The sequence below is a fragment of the Homo sapiens genome, chromosome 20 (assembly GCF_000001405.40).
Source record: "Homo sapiens chromosome 20, GRCh38.p14 Primary Assembly".
Lineage (NCBI taxonomy): Eukaryota > Metazoa > Chordata > Mammalia > Primates > Hominidae > Homo > Homo sapiens.
Window position 1 is genome coordinate 13,069,550 of NC_000020.11, and position 18,781 is coordinate 13,088,330.

At 38.3% G+C, this 18,781-nt stretch overlaps 1 protein-coding gene and 1 pseudogene across 6 annotated transcripts in view; one reads left to right on the forward strand and one right to left on the reverse strand.

The window, feature by feature from the left end:
- Positions 1–18,781, forward strand: part of SPTLC3 (serine palmitoyltransferase long chain base subunit 3) — a 160,132-nt gene that overhangs the window by 60,578 nt on the left and 80,773 nt on the right. For 5 of the 6 annotated variants that reach the window (NM_018327.4, NM_001349945.2, XM_011529279.2 and 2 more), the window contains 2 exons: positions 2,707–2,861; positions 4,800–4,948. In NM_018327.4, coding sequence (NP_060797.2) covers positions 2,707–2,861; positions 4,800–4,948 — 304 coding nt within the window. Of the gene's footprint in view, positions 1–2,706; positions 2,862–4,799; positions 4,949–10,206; positions 10,319–18,781 lie in introns of those variants that run through there. The other variant, XM_011529280.2, reaches the window with a different exon arrangement.
- CENATACP1 (CENATAC pseudogene 1) lies at positions 3,945–4,765 on the reverse strand (annotated as a pseudogene).

Genomic DNA, 18,781 nt, shown 5'->3' on the forward strand with positions numbered 1-18,781 from the left:
AATCTCATGCCACTGCTGATCTGACAGGAGGTGGAGCTCGGAGCCCAGGTGGTAATGCTCGCTCACCCGCTGCTCACCTCCTGCTGTGTGGCCTGGTTCCTAACAGGCCACAGACTGGTACCTGTCTGCAGCCCAGGGCTTGGGGACCCCTGCTCTGTGATTGTTGTGGCCCCTCTAGCCCTGGTGCCCTGTGCATCTTGTAGTTCCAAATCTGAAATTAATTTTAATTTTATAGACAGAATACTTTGATTCTTGTCTCCTCTCCAAAACCAACTGATACTTTATTTTGGGTAAGATTCCTCATAAAACCTAAAATTATAATTCTCTTCAGAGTCCAGAAATATTACTTACACACCTACTGCTCTCTTTTCTCATGATAGGATGAGTTTATAGATTATTATTTCAAATAAGACTTTTAAAATTATAAATAGAGAAACACAACATTTGGGGATATAGAATAATCCACAAAGCAGTAAACAGTCTGAAAAAAATGTATTGAATCAAAGAAGAAATAGTTTGAGAATGAGTTTTCTAGAATTATATAATCTTGTAGCCTCAAAAAATATGTCTCTTTCCCTGTGAGAAAGACATATAAAGAGTATAATTGATTATCAGAAACTTGGAGCTTTAAATCATAACAAAACCTACATCACAGCTACTTAAAGAAAATGCATTCAAGGTGAGACTTTTAAATGTAGAATTGCCCGACCATCCTTCAAATTTAAACAGTATATGCTTATGAACATTCTTTCCTACAAAAGAAAAGTATACTTTTTCCCCAAGAAATGATGCTGTTGTCACCAAGGACCAAAGGATGAAGTGACAGAACGATCTGTGGCTTGGGTGTAGCCATCTGCCATCAAAACCTGCCTATTCTCCATATTATATTCTGCAATGAACCAGTGCAGAGAATGAGTGGGCAAAGCGGTAGCATACGGTCATCCACAAAGGCACTCCCCATGGTCTCCTTGTTCCTTGAGGAAATCAGCTTCATTTAATAAGGGAAAGGAGAGCCAAGTGCTCCAAAGCATAGGCGGGAGAATGAGAAGGCTCACTCCCAATTATTCAGTGACCCCTCATTACCTGCAGGATAAAGGATGAGCTCTTCCTGCAAATGCTTCGGGTCCTCAAGCTTCCCACTGTCTGTGCCCAGCTGACATTGCAGCCTCACCCACGCTGTAGGGAGTCATTAGGGGATGGGGTCAGAGAGGTAACCAGAAGCTATATGAGTCAGGATGTCTAATCAGGAGTGAGGTGGGAGCCATTATAAGTTCTGAGCAAAGAGTGACAGCGTGTGCATTATATTTTATTCTTATCAATTCTTCCCAAATGCACTCCACATTCCCAGCATACAAACCCACTCCCCTGAGAACTCCCCAAGCATCCCTGCCCATAAAAATCTCATTCTGCTTTGGTGTCCATCTCCAAGGACTCTCCCACATAAAGCTTCCTTGATTCCTCCAACAAGGTAGGACTCTCCCTCCTACTGTAATCCCACGAATGTCCAAAGTGCTTGGCTTAGACGACAGTTACCATTATTGCATTTTCTGCCTTGGATTAATTTTCTTCTTGTTTGCTCCAAGAATACTCGCAGGAGAATCTTGAGGCTGCAGCATTCATCCTAAGAAAACCTTGCCATGAACTATTAATATCTCACTTGTATTATTTTCGCATTACTCCAGTATATCAACTTTGAAAACAAAAGACATCATTCTATTTACAGCATTCTGGTTTTAGTAATGGTATTTCCACTTACATAATATAGTAACTCTCTAGCTCACGGAAAATGTCAAATCCTAGAAAACGTAGCATTCCTACGCGTGATGTTAGCATCATTCTTTAACAGTTGTTAGCCAAAAATTAATTTGATGAATCTGATTTTTCCTAAATAGATTATTCTGATGCAGATGATTTTGATGTTAGTTCTATTTAGAACTAACTCCAAGAACAGTTTGTATATTTTATTTTCACATTGAAAATCAGTCAGATTTGCTTCAGCCTCAAAGAGCATGTTTATGTAAAATCAAATGAGCGCCGGCAATGAGCTATACTTTTTTTTCTAAACGGGAAGAGGGAACTATTAAGAGTCAAATGATGACATTAGACATGTCTTGCTTTAAGCCTCAGCTAGATTGCAGATCCCTTTGGTCATGGATTACACTTTATACAGCAACTCAGCGTTCTTACCTCAGCTGTGAGAGAGGCCCGCTGCCTCCACGAGCTCCTCTGATTAGTTTCCATTGGCCATGTAACAGCTAGCCACCCTCGAGTAGCAGTTTTGCCAGCAGGTCCGATAGTTCAAGTTCATCCCCACTTCTAATCACACGGTGAGTGATATATTCATGTTCAAAAAAGTTGAAATCACATGATCATCTCAACCATTTTTTTCCAACGAAACTGCTTTGGACATAGACACCTGTGTTACCCTTAGAGAAACTGCAGGGACGTGTTGTCTCCACTTGCTTTCGGGCTTGTATTGCACTGACATCTTTGTTACCCCTGTTCATCACATGTTTTCATTCCCCCACTAAAAGGCATGTTCTTTAGCCTCACAGATTTACTTCCCTCACCTACTGACCTTTGCTCAAAATATATCTGTAGATGTGTTATTTCCACAGCTCTTCCAGGTCTTCTTCCCTGCTTCAATTGTAAGTGAAATCCAGAAAGCAAAGAACCAGAGATAACCTTCTACCTCTGTTCTAACAGGATTTTGTGCCACTGTATCAAGACTTTGAAAATTTTTATACAAGAAACCTTTACATGCGAATCAGAGACAACTGGAACCGGCCCATCTGCAGTGCCCCAGGGCCTCTGTTTGATTTGATGGAGAGGGTATCAGACGACTATAACTGGACGTTTAGGTGAGAGAACTTCTTGGAGGGGATTGGTGAAAAGAAAAACCTTTCAAGGAAATCCTAGCATGGCCACTAGATGACAAATCCAAAAAAACAAGGCATGGAAGCCATTGGTTTTGTATCATTTATGCCTTTGCAAGCCCTCCTGATGCCAGGGGAGGAAGGCACAGTAAAGTAATCAAGCAGCTGCCAGAGTGGCTTTTTTGTATTGTAATTAACCTAAGACCTGGGTCAGAAGGTGCAGGACACACCAAGCCAGCCAGGAAGACACCTTTCAGCTTTATTGACAAATTCTACTCTCCTACTTACAGCTGAATGAGACAGTGATGACCATGGTTCTTGTTCTTCTGGAAGGCTCTTGCTAGAATTTAAACCAGAGCATGAGTGTCATAGAAATAAGTGCCCAAGGAAAATCAGGTCTAAGTAACAATCCATGGGTCAAGATGTCTTTCTCAAATGCTCTGCCCAACTTCATCATGGGTTTACCTTTCTCTTAGGGAAAACCATTTTTTGGTAACAACTTTGTTGATGCATAATACATGTACATTATTTTGGAGTACATGTAATAATTTAATACATTCATATAAATTGTAAAGATCAAATCAGTGTACTTGGGGCATCCATCATCTTAAATATTTGTCTTTTTTTATGCCAGAATCATTTAAATTATTTTCTTCTAGCTATTTTGAAATAGACCATACATTATTTTATAAACCACAGTCACCCTACTGATCTGAGTTTTATTTCTTCTATCACACCATATCTTTGTACCTGTTAGTCAATTTCTCTTTATCTCCCCCTCCTCCCTACCTTTTCTAGCCTCTGGTAACAACCAATCTACTCTCCCTTCATGAGATCTGCCTTTTTAGCTCCCACGTTATAGGTAAAAAGAAATGTGATATTTGACTGCTGTGCCTTGCTTATTTCACTTAATATAAAGGCCTCTAGTTCCATCCAAATTGCTTCAAATTACAAGGTTTTCTTTCTTTTTCTTTCTTTATGTTGAAAACAATGCAAGTTAATAAGAAAGAAAATATATGATTTGGGCCAGACCTAAGGCCCCTCCAGCACTAGGATAATTTTTTTTTTTTTACATTTGGGAAAATAAAACTTTATTAAATCAAATGAATGGGCATGTCTGTTTCCTAAGAAAGACAATGATAATGAACTTGGTGGAAGGAATAATAGTGGGTAGGAGTTTGTTGACTTTGCTTTTAGCCTCACGGTAGTTGGTAGAGCATCAGGGAATGATTAACATTTTTTTTTAATGTGACTGCTTATCTGCTTGTTCATTGCTGCAGCTTCAGTTCTGAGTTGACGCCTGAACTGCCAACAGTATCCATTATTCCAGACACGGTCCAAAGAGGGCAGCCAGCCTGCACTGGTCCTGGAGCTGTGATTAAAGTTGGCCCCAACTCAGTTTGGGGAAAGTTCCTTCAACTTCTCTTTTTCCTTTTCTTTAATAAATTCTTTATAGGACGGTCCTGTTTGTTGGTTCCCAGAGATGCATTCTTCATCCTGGATCATCCAGGGAGGTGTGGCACCTGAGTGGATGTTACCAACTCCTGGTATATCCTGATGACCAATGAATATCGGAGATAGTCCTGTCTCCATCCAGTCAAGCTCTGGAGCTGTGGCAGGTCCAAGTTGGAGGCCTGCTGTGGGCTGGAAGCTACCTGGCTGTTCATCCTTTTCCAGCTTCCAGGGACTAAAGTGCCCGGCACTGGCTGAGGGGGTCTGGATCCTCCGAGGGAAACCAACCTCTAGGACAGACTGAACCACCTCCTGCCAGCTCTGTTCCACCTCACAGATCTGAGCTGCCATCTCCTTGGTCACCTCATCCTCTTTTTCTTCATAGGAACCCAAGTCTTCCACCAGGGATTTTTTGAATCGTGCATAATCCTGGGGAGGGGATTATGTGCTCATTTACATGTTTCCCCACAGGTTTACTGGAAGAGTCATCAAAGATGTCATCAACATGGGCTCCTATAACTTCCTTGGTCTTGCAGCCAAGTATGATGAGTCTATGAGGACAATAAAGGATGTTTTAGAGGTGTATGGCACAGGCGTGGCCAGCACCAGGCATGAAATGGGTATGTACATTCACTGTTTTGAAACTTTTTGCTGTTAGGTCTCAGATTCCTTGTGTCTGTCTCTCAAATCTAGATCATATTTGGACTGTGTCCCTTAAAAAGGTGTTATAAACTGCAGAAAGAAAAAAAAGAGATATTTTGGGAAATTTCAAGCATTAGGCTGTTGCCAGGCAGTTTATTAATTGCATGTTTCAATTCTCCAGAATAGACAAAAATGGATCTTTCCTGCCCATATTATCTAAAATAGCAACACTGTGCCTCCTCTAGCTGGTCCTTTTCTGCCCTTTCTTCCACTTTTCTTAACGATGTTCATCACCAGTTAAAATGATCTTGCATTTGTATTTGTTTATGGCCTGTCTCTGCTCCTAAAACATAAGCTTTGTGAGAAGAGGGATTGGACTTGTGGAATGTTGCACTGAATAAATGAATGAATGGACCAGGTGAAGCAGACGAGCAGCCTGCCTCTTTATTTTCCTTTTAGTGAAAATGTTTTTCTCTTACTCAAAGTAGTAACATCTGTGAGAAGGAAACCCACTCATCTTCAATTCAGGAAGAAAGAATAATGCAAGCTTGTTCTTATAGAGTGCTTTTCAATTCTTGGCATGAGGATAGAGAGAGGGAGAGCGTTCATTTATTCAAAAAAAAAAAAAAAACCTGTGTAGGCAACACAGGTGGTGTTATTCTCATCTTCTGGGGGAAGAATCTGAGATCATGGCACCTAAGTGATGTACTCAAGGAAGTTAAATAACCAACCTAATTCCCAGTCTAGCTCAGCTTTCTCTACTACAGCCCTTCTCCCTCCTAGTGACACATGCAAGGTTCACCAGGTCAGTTAGGTCTGCCTAAGAATTGGAGGCAAATGTGATTAAAAAGGGATTTACTATCATGTTAATGAATTATGAACCACATGTCCCTCTTAGGTAACCAATTAGTAGAGAGTTTTAGAAACTATTTAATTATTCAGACTTGTGCAGCAAATAATTCACATTGAACAAAGTAGGTACCTTTTTAATCCTAACATTCATTGGCTAAAGCTCTAGAGTTAATAGTGGGTGCACAGATTTCTTAAGAAAAACATCTTACTTATCTTCATTTTGAGGCATAAGGGCTGGAGATGTTAACAGGGTGGAGATGAAAACAGGAGGCTTTACTCCACTTAGAAGGACTGGGTCACCGGTGATGCCCCATTTGGAGATGGGGCAGAGACTGGAGGAGTACCCCCAGCCATAAGGAGCACAGAGTCAGTAACCATTTGAGATATTTCCTCTGGTGCTGGTGACACCCAATACCAGGGTTGTTAATGACCAGCCAGAAGACACATTCCTGATAACAACCCCCCAACTCAGTGAGACAGAATGCTGCCTACACAGGCAGTAGAGGCTGAAGGAAAGCTGCTTGATACAGGCAGTGGTTCACTTACAGGGGAAGCCAGATATGGAACATGGGTCCCCGACTCCATAGGTTTAGCAAACCTTAAGAAACTAGGCAGAAATGAAGGTCCCATTTGGGACTTTCACTCAGCCCAAGTTCTTTCTCCTTCTGAATTGCCCAGTTTTTAATATTTCTCCATTTCATTTAGCTCTCCATGTCAAGTTCTAAGAAAAGGACTTTAACATTTTTCAAGTAAATAGTGAAAGACTCAAAGAGAAGCCACCGTCACTAATTTTAGGCAAATAGAATGACTGAAACATGAATATAAGGAGCCAGTCAGGAAATGAATAAATAAAGAGAGGATATTTAAAGTATTCCGCAACATTAACAATAATCTTAACATGGCATGCAAGAATTAGGAGTAGCGTGATTCTGAAAGCCATTTATTCTAATGAACACAGGTAACTTCTGGAAAACGTGTCTTAAGAGAATATTTAACAGTACAAATGGGTTAACAATGAAAATTGGAAAGCTAGAAGTTCAACAATTTTTAGTAACCAAAATACCTTCTTGAGAACCTACAAGTTCATGAATATTTAATCACTAAAAAATAACTCCTCAGAGCTTTTAAAAATAGTTTTCAATGTTCCAGGGGAAAAAGGAAAATAAAATCCATGTAACAAAAGAGGAAAGATAGAAAACGAAATAACAAGGAATCACTTAAAACTTAGATGACAGATATTATTTTGACAAAAAAAAAATGTACCTAAAACAGATTTGTCCATTAAAAGAAAAAGACTGAGATTTGGCCAAAAACCTAAGTTCAACTATGTGCTGCAATTTAAAAATATACGATATTAAGTTAAAATTATTTCAAAGGGTGAAAAATAGAAAGATAGGTCCCACCGGGTACCTAGAGCCCACCTCCCTGCTGCAACCACCAAAGGGGCTCAAAAGGGAGGTCATGTCAGTAGAAGGAGCAGCAAAGGAAGAGCCCAGGAGGCAGGTTCCCGGAGGAAGATTGTTTGCAAAACCTGCACCTGTAAATGTTAAAACTGAGCCCAAAAATACAGCTGGAAATGATATATTTCCAGACACATCTGTACAGAAGTGCAAAGGCTATTTTTAAGATGTGAAATTATGTACTACTGCTTATTTTAGAGTACAACTAGAAAATAGTGGAATACAAAATTAAGGGAGACTTTGACTCCTTTATGGGTCAATTTACATTCCACATAAATGAAGCAGCAAAGAACAAAAAAATGATATGGTAATAGGAGACAATAAGGTGTCTCCCACAGTTGACAACCATCGAGCCAGCATAACCTTGATCTCCAAATCTGACAAACAAGCATTTAATAAAGGGAAAACTATAAGTTACTATTACTTTATGTATTTTATATATAAAATACAAATAATATTATTACTTATAAAGTAATAAAGTAAGAAGCCAAAAATAAATAAATGATATAGAAGACATTAACAATGTAATCATTAATGATTGCTAATTTAATAGTTATCAATTGAATGCTAAACCTTAAAACATATTACCACTAGACTTCACCTTTTTAAATCCTCATTGAATTTACATAAAAATCTACTATATATTATGCCACAAAGAAAACCACATGAAATTCTAAAAAGTAGAACCTACATAAGTCACATTCTTGAATCCTGTGAATAAAGCTAAAAATTAATAAGAAACTAACAAGTATGAGATTATGGGAAGCAGCTAGTTGTGTACATAGAGGAAAATATAAGTCTTACTTTACTAAGCAGGAAAGATGAAAGCTAGTAAACTGGGCAACCAACATAGCAAGGAATAAAAGAAAAGCAAAAGTATTGAATTATTAAAGTTAAAAACAGAAACTTAGGAATTTGAAATAGTAATTTCTATTGAGCCAAGCTATCTGTACTTTTTTTTTTTTAAAGAGTTAGAGTTTCATTCTGTTACCCAAGCTGGAATGCAGTGGTGTAATCACAGCTCACTGTAACCTCAAACTCTTGGCCTCTAGTGATCCTCCTGCCTCAGCCCCCAAAATGCTGGGATTATAGGGAGGAGCCACCAGCCCAAGCCCAACATCTGTATTTTTAATAAGTCACTGGAGGTGATTCTGATAAGCAGCCACAGGTGACAATGATTGAGCTAGCATAACCTTGATTTCCAAATCTAACAAACATGCATTTAATAAAGGGAAAAGAATACATTACTATTACTTTATATATTTTATATATAAAATATAAATAATATTATTACTTATAAAACTATTACATATTTTTGTAAGTAACATGTATTTTGTAAATATGTAAAAAGAAAATATAAATATAAATATTTTATAAGTAATAATATAATATTATACATAGTATATATAAAAATTGGCATTGAGACTAACAGTACCTTCAAATAACAGAATAACATAATCAAGTAATTCTATTCAGGGATCAAAATAATAGTTCAATAAGGAGATAATTTAAAATATTGAAATAGCTAAGAAGTAAACTGATTATCTTCATAGATGCTGCTAAGCATTTATAAAATTCATTATCCATTTCTCTAAAATTTTAAATAGAACATAAACAAGAAATTCCTGAATAGAATAAAAAATATCTACCTCAAAGAGATTGTACTATGATTCTTGGTTAAATACTAGAAGTATTTATTTTAAAGTCAAGAAAAAGATGAAGATGCCTGTTTTACTATCATTTTTAACAAGCTTTGCAAGTACTAAACAATATAATTAATTATTCATTCTCTAAGTTAATGAATATTTATTGAAAGACTATTGTACAACAGAATAAGAAGTATATATATTACAAAGGAAGAGGTAAAATAGCCATTATTTGTAGATGAGTTTATTGTTCACCTTCTGGGTTTCAAGCTGTGACCTATGGAGGGCAAGTGAGACTTGTGGAGGGGCTGTTCTTGGGGCTACCAGAGAGAGAGGGAATTGAGCAAGTAGGACAGTGAGCCCATCCCTCCACTCGAAATAGAGTTTTGGTCCATTTTCCTCCACTTTACATATTTAAGTAATCAAAAATTTATTAGACATAAAAAGATTCAATAAAGAACAATTTTTTAATTCATACAGTAAAGTTAATAATCAACTATAAACGGTAAGAGATATATTAGGGAAATAATATTACTACTAAATATAACCAAAAATGGCAAACACCTAGGGAATAAACTTATTTTGAAGATGTTTGGAACCTATTGAAAGAAAACTACAAAACTTTTATAAAAGACTTAACAGAAGACATTTATAAAAAAAGACGGAGATACCATATCCTTGAAGGGGAAAATTCAGTATTGTAATTATATTAATTCTTCCCCAAACAAATACGTAAATTGAACACAAGCTCAACAGGCAGGGTAGAGGTGGGTGGGTAGAAACTAAAAGCCTGGAAACAGATAGCAACATTGCACTCTCATTTGTATACGATAAGAAGAGTATTTCAGATCAGGTGAGAAAAGGATCAATGATTTCATGATTAGTGTTATAACTGGTTGGTCATATAAGAGAAGAAGTTATATTCCCACCTCACATATTACATGTAGGTAAATTACACCCAGATAAATTGCAAATACATTTGAGATTGACATGGAAAAAACAAAAACCACCACCACCACCACCACCAAAAACACTTTCAAAATAAATGAGTGAATGAATAAATGAATTGATGAAAAATATCAAATGAGTAAAATGAAACTACTGAGACAATTCAAATATGAAATGCACTTGTGTGTGTTCCCAGGGAGGACCCTGTTAGGAATGTCAGACTGTTGTTTCCTTGATGTGCGCAATGCTTCTTTTCTGGTTTGTTGCTTATGACCAAACCCTGCTCAGTTCTACAACCTGTGTTGGCCTCCCATCTTTTCCAGGTGAATTCACCTCATCCTGGCAGAATGCCCTCTGTGTGGGAGGGGTCTTGCAAGCTGACTCAGTGCCACAGGGGCCACCCTGGTCATGGAAAATGGGCAGGCACTCTTCCCTGTTGGAGGTGAGGCAGCCTGCTCCCAACCCAACCACCTGCCACAGCTGTTTGCCCTTCAGGCTTCTCAAGCCTGATTCTGACAGTAGTCTATTTTGTCCTAATACCCCAGGGAACCAGAGAAAACACCCACAGAAACCTGAAGGGAAAAGATTCGGCAAAGTGAAACATTTAAACTTCTGTACATAGAAAACAAGGTTAACAAAGGTAAAAGTCAAAGAACACAATTGGAAAAAGTTATTCCCAATATATATGACAACATGTTAATATTCTTAACACTTAGAGACTCTCACAAACCACCAAAAAAAAGAATATCCCAATTTAAGAAATAGGATACGTTTTTGATAAGGTTCAAAACAGGCAAAACTTGGCCAGGTGCGGTGACTCATGCCTGTAATCCAGACACTTTGGGAGGCCTAGGCAGGCGGATCACGAGGTCAAGAGATCAAGACCATCCTGGCCAACATGGTGAAACCCCGTCTCTACTAAAAATACAAAAATTAGCTGGATGTGGTGGCATGCGCCTGTACTCCCTGCTACTTGGGAGGCTGAGGCAGGAAAATCGCTTGAACCCGGGAGTCAGAGGTTGCAGTGAGCCGAGATTGCGCCACTGTACTCCAGCCTCATGACCGAGTGAAAATCCATCCATCTCCAAAAAAAAAACAGGCAAAACTGCACAGCCAGGATAGTGTGACATTTCTCAACCCTTTTGTCATTATCACATCACCCCAAAGAATGATTAAGATATTGAGATATCCTTTTTCCCTAACTGACAAAAGTTAAAAAAAAATAATAACCCGTAGTTTCAAAGGAGTGAAGAAAAGAGCACTCTCATATACCATTGACAGAGAAAATTAGAGAGCAATTTGAAAAGGTATCAAAAGCAGCCATTTAACTTTGTAACTCTATTTTGAGCAATTTTGTCTTTAAAAAATGAATAAGTATTTAAACTTGAATAAAGTATTTAAATATGTTCAAGAATAATCATTGCAGTGAGACTAATAATGATAAAGTTAGGGAAACAAGTATGTTTCTAACATTCAGAAATTGATTAAATATATTTGGTGGATCTGTTTAGCATAATATTATTTAGCCATTTGAAATTATAATGAAATTCTTTAGCACCATGGTCAAGAACAAAAGCTCTGGGATTAAGTTGCTTAAACTCAAATCCTAGTTCCTCCTGTCGACCTAAAGAAAGAAACTGAAGCAAAATTAATATAGAGAGTTTATTTGGGCCGAAGTTGAGGACAGCTTCCCAGGACACACTTCCAAGTTGCTTTGGGAAGTGCTCCCTCCCGCCTTTGCCACAAGCAGGTTTTTAAAGGCAAAGAGGAACAAGGAGTGGGCTGATGCAAACTTACCTGATGGCAATTGTCACTGATATACAGAAATAACATTGGTTAATAATTGGCTATACATTGCTGAACTATAGGTTATGAACTATAGGATGCCCAGCATATTGTTCTTAATCATTAGAGAATTTGTAAAGCCCTCCTCCCAACCATTTATCTTCCTAACAAATTATCTGCTATCATTTAATTCAAATTATCAAGGCTCTTCCTGTGTTTCTTTCTCAAAGATTTGTAGCTAGGTCTAAGAAATGTAGTTTTGTTAACCTGAGCTTTTGAAGAAGGGACCAGCCTAAATATGCAATATGCCTAAAGTATATTTTAAATAAATATATTCTTATGGCCTTTTAAGTTGCCTTAAGAACGAGCAGTTTCTAAAAAATTGCTACCAAGTAGAGATCTTAACTTTCTTTTAAAAAGAAATTTTAATTAACATATTTTTACGTAAATCAATGTAACAAACACATTTTCAAGCAGTGGATTTGATTAAATTAGCAATGAACGTCCCAACTCCAATTGGTTAATAGACACCACAAAACCTTTCTTCATGAATAGTGCCAATTCCTCTCAAACCAAATTATTATAGATTCCAATTAATGAGATTTTATTGCATTTCTCTCAAGCCTTTTAATTTTCTTTTAAGAGTATGTTTCAGGAGAATGGGACTCTTGGAGGAATTGTTTGGGAGGAGAAAAATGAAAGCATATCTTTGTTTCTTAAAGCCTTTTGGCAATTTCCTGAGACCTAGTAGAGTTCTGACAACATAATTGCCCTTCTCCTGACCGTGATAGAAATTATAGCACAGCTCAATTTCAACTAGCAGGCATATTTCTGCAAGTGTAGAATTTAGTCCTATAGGTTCAACAAAGCCAAGCACAATTCAACAAGATATGACAGTAATTTTACATAAGTATAATACTTGCCAGCAAAGTGATATCTGGGATGATCAAACAATGTTGAAACTCATAGAATTTCAGAATTTGTAGATCTACCACCTTCCATCTTCCCACATAAATACCATAAGATGAGACACATGAAGCCCCAGAGATTTTTAATGACTTGCCAGTCAATGTTTCCACAGTCTGTAGGTCGAGAAGACTAGACATCAGTTCTCTTGAGTCCCACTGGAGAGCCATTTGTACTGCCCTATACTGCTCATAGCAAAAACTGAAAACCATCAAGATCAGAGGTCACTAAACCAATACAGCTGCCCCCTGTTTTTGTACAGTTTTAAATAATTGGAATAATAAAAATAAGAATAAGACTTGTGACACATGAATATTATATGAAGTTCAAATTTCAGTGTCCATAAATCTTTGTTGGATCACAGCCACACCCACTATTTTGTGTATTGTCTGACTGCTTTCACTTTACAATAGCAGAGTTGAATAGTTGCAACAACAACCATATGGCCTGCAAAGCCCAAAACATTTATTCTCTAGATCTCTATCAAAAGTTTGCTGATCTAGACAAGTACTTGACATCACAATGATTTAGAGAAAATAAATCCTCCAGATTTATAGCACTGAGCCACATTTCCAAATCTCAGTTCACATCAGCCAAACACCAAGCTCCTTCCTTTAGACTAAAAAACTCTCACTAGAGCCAAATATATTAAGAATACAAACTTCATTGACATCGGCACCTGTGTATATCTTTTAAGGCCAGTGATATCAACTTGAAGAAGACCAAGGACATCATCAATGTCTGCTCCTAATTTCTCATGTCCAGGTGATTATCTTTGGGAAGAGGGGCATTGAGGGTGGCAAAAGAACCATGTGACAGAAATGTAATACCAATCCATTTATTCTGTACTCTTCCTGATAATGCAAAAGAGTTAGACCTGGTAGTACAATGGAAGTCATTTCTGATCATCTTGACACCTGTGTTTCTTCTCATAGACAGGACATAACCTAAATACGTGACCTGACTTTTCACCTAGTGTTAAGTAGCCCAGGGTTGAAAAGACTTAAGTTGCAGGGTCCAGGAGTTTATCCAGACTTTCCCTATTTTTCATCTACCTATTTTATGTTTCTATTATCATCCTTCAGGGTAAAGATGTGTATATTCCTCTGAACTATTCACCAGCCTGGAGCCCCTATATAATTTGAGTTTATTTTAGTGAGCCCAGAAGGAGTAGAATAAACTCTCCTAATGAAGAGCTAGAACTGAAAGACCACATAGGGGCCTATGTATTAATCTTCATCAAAGGTACAATATAGAGCCTCTCATCTTATCATATACTACTTTCAGACTTAATTCTCTGCCATTTAGTCAAAGTAAAATACAGAAGGAGTAATGAAATCACAGAACTGAGGTTCAGCAAGGTCCCTAGAGTTTAGTCTAACTTACTTTTATGAAAGCTCATGCCAAAGTCCAGAAAGTCTCAATAACTTTCCCAAGGTCACATAGTTAATGAATGGAAAGGCCATGTGTATCACAAACTCGAGAGTGCAAGAATTATTCAAGTTCCTTTTTTTTATTACCAAGTTAATGTTGGCCCCAATTCCCAACCTGGATTTCTATTTTTAGTCCATATTGAGGCTCCCATTCTTCAAGATGGAGCAAAGCTTTTAGATTATTATGCAGCTCCCAACATCAGGGCTGTCTCCTGGTCCTTGGTCCCACAACCACACTGGTCAACACTGTTGGCCCACTGTTTAAATACAAGCCCTGTGGTCCAGCAACCTAGTGTCTCTGTCCTATGTTGGAGACTGAGGAGTCTATGTTGAGGATAGAAACTCCAGTATCTAGCGTTCAAGCCATGTTCATGCAACTTGCAACGGTCCCCAGGCAGCTACCATCAAGAGATATGAATGGATCCGTTGACCCCAGTCTTGATCAAATCCTCTTTACCCTCTCTGCTTCGCATACCTTGATTCCTCTCCTTTGAGTACTCCTAATGGAATCCCTTCAATTTGTGTAAGCTTCTATAAAGACTGGCAGGAAATAATTCCTGCTTTGGACCCTGTATCATGAACCTCTCTACGAACAAAAGACTAAACCCAACCTGGTTACTTACTAAACATGGAAGGAGGGGAATAAAAAGTTTTTAAGGAGAACGTGCATACATTAATATTTCAATAAATTGTCCTATGATGTTTATAACAACAAAGCTTTATATATTTAAGAACATACAGATGCTTAGCATCCCTTGGGCTAAGAGCTGCCAAAATTTCCTGCTTTGGAAAAAGCCACGGAATTGTGATGAAGTGTTTCATCTCTGGAGTCAGACATGCTGATTTGAATCTTGGCTCTAAACTTACTAACTGTGTGACCGTGGAACCTCCAAGGGGTCTTGAGGGTAAACTAAACTCTCAAGGTTCTTTTTTCCCTCATCTATAAAATGAAGATAATAATAGTACCAACCTCAAAAACTTGGATGACAATTAAGATAAGGTTTAAAATATTTCAGTACGTTAGGTTGGCACATTGTTAAGCAGATGGTCTGCATTTATCAGTTCTGTCTCCTTTAAGTAGCATCACGTTGGTACCTGTGTCCTCATTAGTAAAATAAGGATACAGTTGCTTACTTTATAGAATATGTGTAGGTGTGAGGATTAGAGAGGATATAGAGCATGAGGATTAAATTAAGCAATCATGGTACATTGCTGAACACTCATTACACATTATTTATAAAAATAAATAAAACTTTACAAAAAGGAAATTGAGACCAGGGGATGAGAGAGAAGTTATTATTCTGTCTACTTAGAAAATCTTCTCTCATCAGAATTGTTTGATGTGAAAGACCATCATAATTATATATCTGTGCCCCACTTAAGGTTTTTATTTACATCTGATCTAATATTTGCTAATGCTTCAACCTGCCAAAAAGCAGGTTGATTTGTGGTTTCTTTAAAATGAAGGCCTGAGTGAGTGGGCAGTTGAAAGTTACTTCCACCATTTTTCCAGACTTCACCATGATGGAGGGTCTTTAACCCAGCAGCAGTGGTGTATGCTTCGTAACTGTATGACCTAGACCCATTTCAGATACTACATCTGGCTTCTTCCAGACTATCTCGGAATATTGGCCAGAAAAACAAACTCACTCAAAAAGCAATATTGCTCCATAACCTCCATTAGACTGGATGGAAGTGGATCAAAGAGGACAGCAGAGTACCCCAAATGCTTTTGAAGCATGAACTCCAAGATGGAATTCTTTAAGCAGAATGTGAATGCTGGCTTTAATGCAAGAATTACCAGTTCAAGCAAAGTGGCACAGATGTGAACTCATAGCTCTGACTCACAGTGTGAATGGCAAGATGGGACAGCTGGCAGTTCCCCATAATAAACCGCCTGCTCTTAGGCCAGGTCTAAGGAACAGTTTATGAACAGGACATTCTGGACCAAAAGTGGCTACGGTTACAATTTGGAAAATAGTCTTCACGTGGGCTACAAAAGAAGAATTGGTAGTTGTGAAACAGGCTTGTTAATAACACCCACACTCTTTGTTATTAACAAATGTCAATATGTAGGCCAGTAATCTCTGACTAAAGAGTATGAGCCAGTCAGTATCAATAAAAATTCAGTAGACATGCATACAGTCCATAGATAGAATATTGGTACTTTATCTTGAATCTAATTTTTGATTTGACTGATGGCAGCAAATGTGGCACTTGGCACATGAAAATACCACTTAGAGAGCTGACAAGAGGATACTTCCAGTTTATGTTTATTACTTTATTCATAAGGCAGGTTTTGAGCATAACACTGAATAAATGGACCACCAGGACAAAAATAAGATTCATTTTATGCATAACATAGCAATTTGGAGATCCACTGTCAATAGCCAATCTATGGCTGTTATTGACTTTCAGAGACTAAAATGTCACAGAGAAACAGAAAAAAAAATTGTGGATTTATTTATACCTTCAGATAGCATTATAACTACGCTTTCTTAGGAGTTAAAAAATGCCAATATTTATATACCAAAGACAAAATGTTGTACTTGATTTCTAGAATTACCTAAGTATTTGCACCACCAACTGCAAGTTGACACCTTTACTCAATCAGGGTATGGCCTGAATCAATGTTTGTAGAAAGCAAAGCTTCTAGTGACTACTTTATTTCCCCAAGCTCTTCCTACATTTTTATTTTTTGAATATGAAGAGCAGGAAGAGAAAAGCAGCCCTTGATTAAAAGGAAGATTTTTCATTATTCCTTTAAAAATCCACCTCACCCTAGACCAGTCCAATCTGACTTTCAAAGGCATGACTTCCTGAAGTAGAAGTGGTGAAAGATCCTCAGCCATCCTAGGAATCTTTCAGGTTTGTTAATAAAATCTGAGCTATGAACACCAAACAGAGAAATTCCATGGTAATGGAGTTTGGGGCTTATTGTTTTCTATATAAATGAAGGTAAGCCCCTGGATGCAAAACCACTCTTAACTTGTAACTCAGCTGTGAGACATCTGGTCATAGAAATTGGTCTTGCATCTAGGAGATACAAATCACTTTGCTAACCATGTGCCCACTGGAAATCCTGAAAAAGGACTGTGTCTGGGGACTTCAGACCTCAGATGGACACCTACATTTCCTTTTTCTTCTCTCTTCCCTTGTTTTCTTTTTCCTTTTCCTTCTTTTCTTTTCTTCTTTTTTTCCCCTAATGAGATCTTGCTTTGTCACCCAGGCTGGCATGCAGTGGTGTGATCATAGCTCACTTCAGCCTCAACCTCCTAAGCTCAATCCTCTCACCTCAGCCTCCCAGATAGCTAGGACTATAGGTGCATACCACCATGCCCAGCTACTTTACTTTTTATTTATTTTTTAGAGATGGGGTTCTCACTGTATTGGCCAGGCTGGTCTCAGACTCCTGACTTCAAGTAATCCTCCTGCCTCGGCCTCCCAAAGTGCTGGGATTATAGGCATGAGCCACTGTGCCTAGCCTCCTCCCCGTCTTTAAGCCAGGTCTAATGGAAAGGATCTTGTAGGGAGCAATTTCTCAGACTGGTCTTAGACATACCCACTTCTCATGAGTCGGCTGGCTGTTTTATTGCGTGACAACACATCCCATATCATCCTCACAACTTTTAGTGATGCAATTGTTGTAGATACGCTCCTGAGATAGCAGGTTTTGGAAAGATTAACGGTGGAGAAAGACACATGGAGATGCATCATGAACTTCTGCTCATGCACTTCTGGGTGACTGGGCCAGTTTCCTGACCCTCTGGGCAGGAAAGGGGAAATATATCAAGTTGGCAAAGTGTGGGCACCCTGTGTCTTTACTAGAAGACTTCTCTAGGAATCAGTGTCTTCAAGCTGGTATTCACTGGCTAGTCACCTTGTTGCCTAGGCATTGAATGGCCATTTGATCTTCTTCCCTGTGCCACCTCCTACTCTAAGCTCAGCCCTGTCTTCATTATTCATCAAAAGGCCCCATATAACTCTACAAGTACCTACTATGTGTCGGCACTGTGGCAGACACTGTGGTTGCCAAGACAAACATCTATGACACCATCATAGAATGTCTGACACTATGGCCATCTATGATACTATTGTCAGTATCTATGGAAGTCATGGCATCTCACACACAGTATCTGCACCCCAAGGACTCTTTCTGTACTAGAGAAGATTGCCCTGGGAACATTCTCAGTTCAACTTAATAAGTGCTATAATCATCATATGATAAATGTTATTCAATCTTGGAAGAGAAAAATGACCAGTTTTCCCTGGGGAAGCTGAGAAAGGCATTAGAGAAAAGATGAAGGGCAAAAAATGGTTTTATGTGGAGGAAATAGTACGTGCAACATCGGGAAAGCCTAAAATGGCATTTTTCTCAATCCCTCTGCAAACTTTCAGGAAAGGTAGCCAGAGTCCACACAGCTGGTAATAGAAGACCTAAAGCCAGAACCTAGTCTCCTCATGCCCAGGCTGTTGGCCTTTTCACTGTCTGTTCTTGGAACCATTCCCATTGGGAAGAAGCCTCTTTTAGGTAAACGCGTATCTGGCAAATGATATGCCCATGTTTTATTCCCAAATATCAGTTTCTCTTTCTGTTCCATAATATATCTTTGATAATACAAAGTTTGAAATTACAATGTAAACTTTTAACATTGCACCAAATCTTGAGTCAGATTGACTACTAGAACACTTGTTTTTTGTTGTTGTTGTTGTTGTTTGTT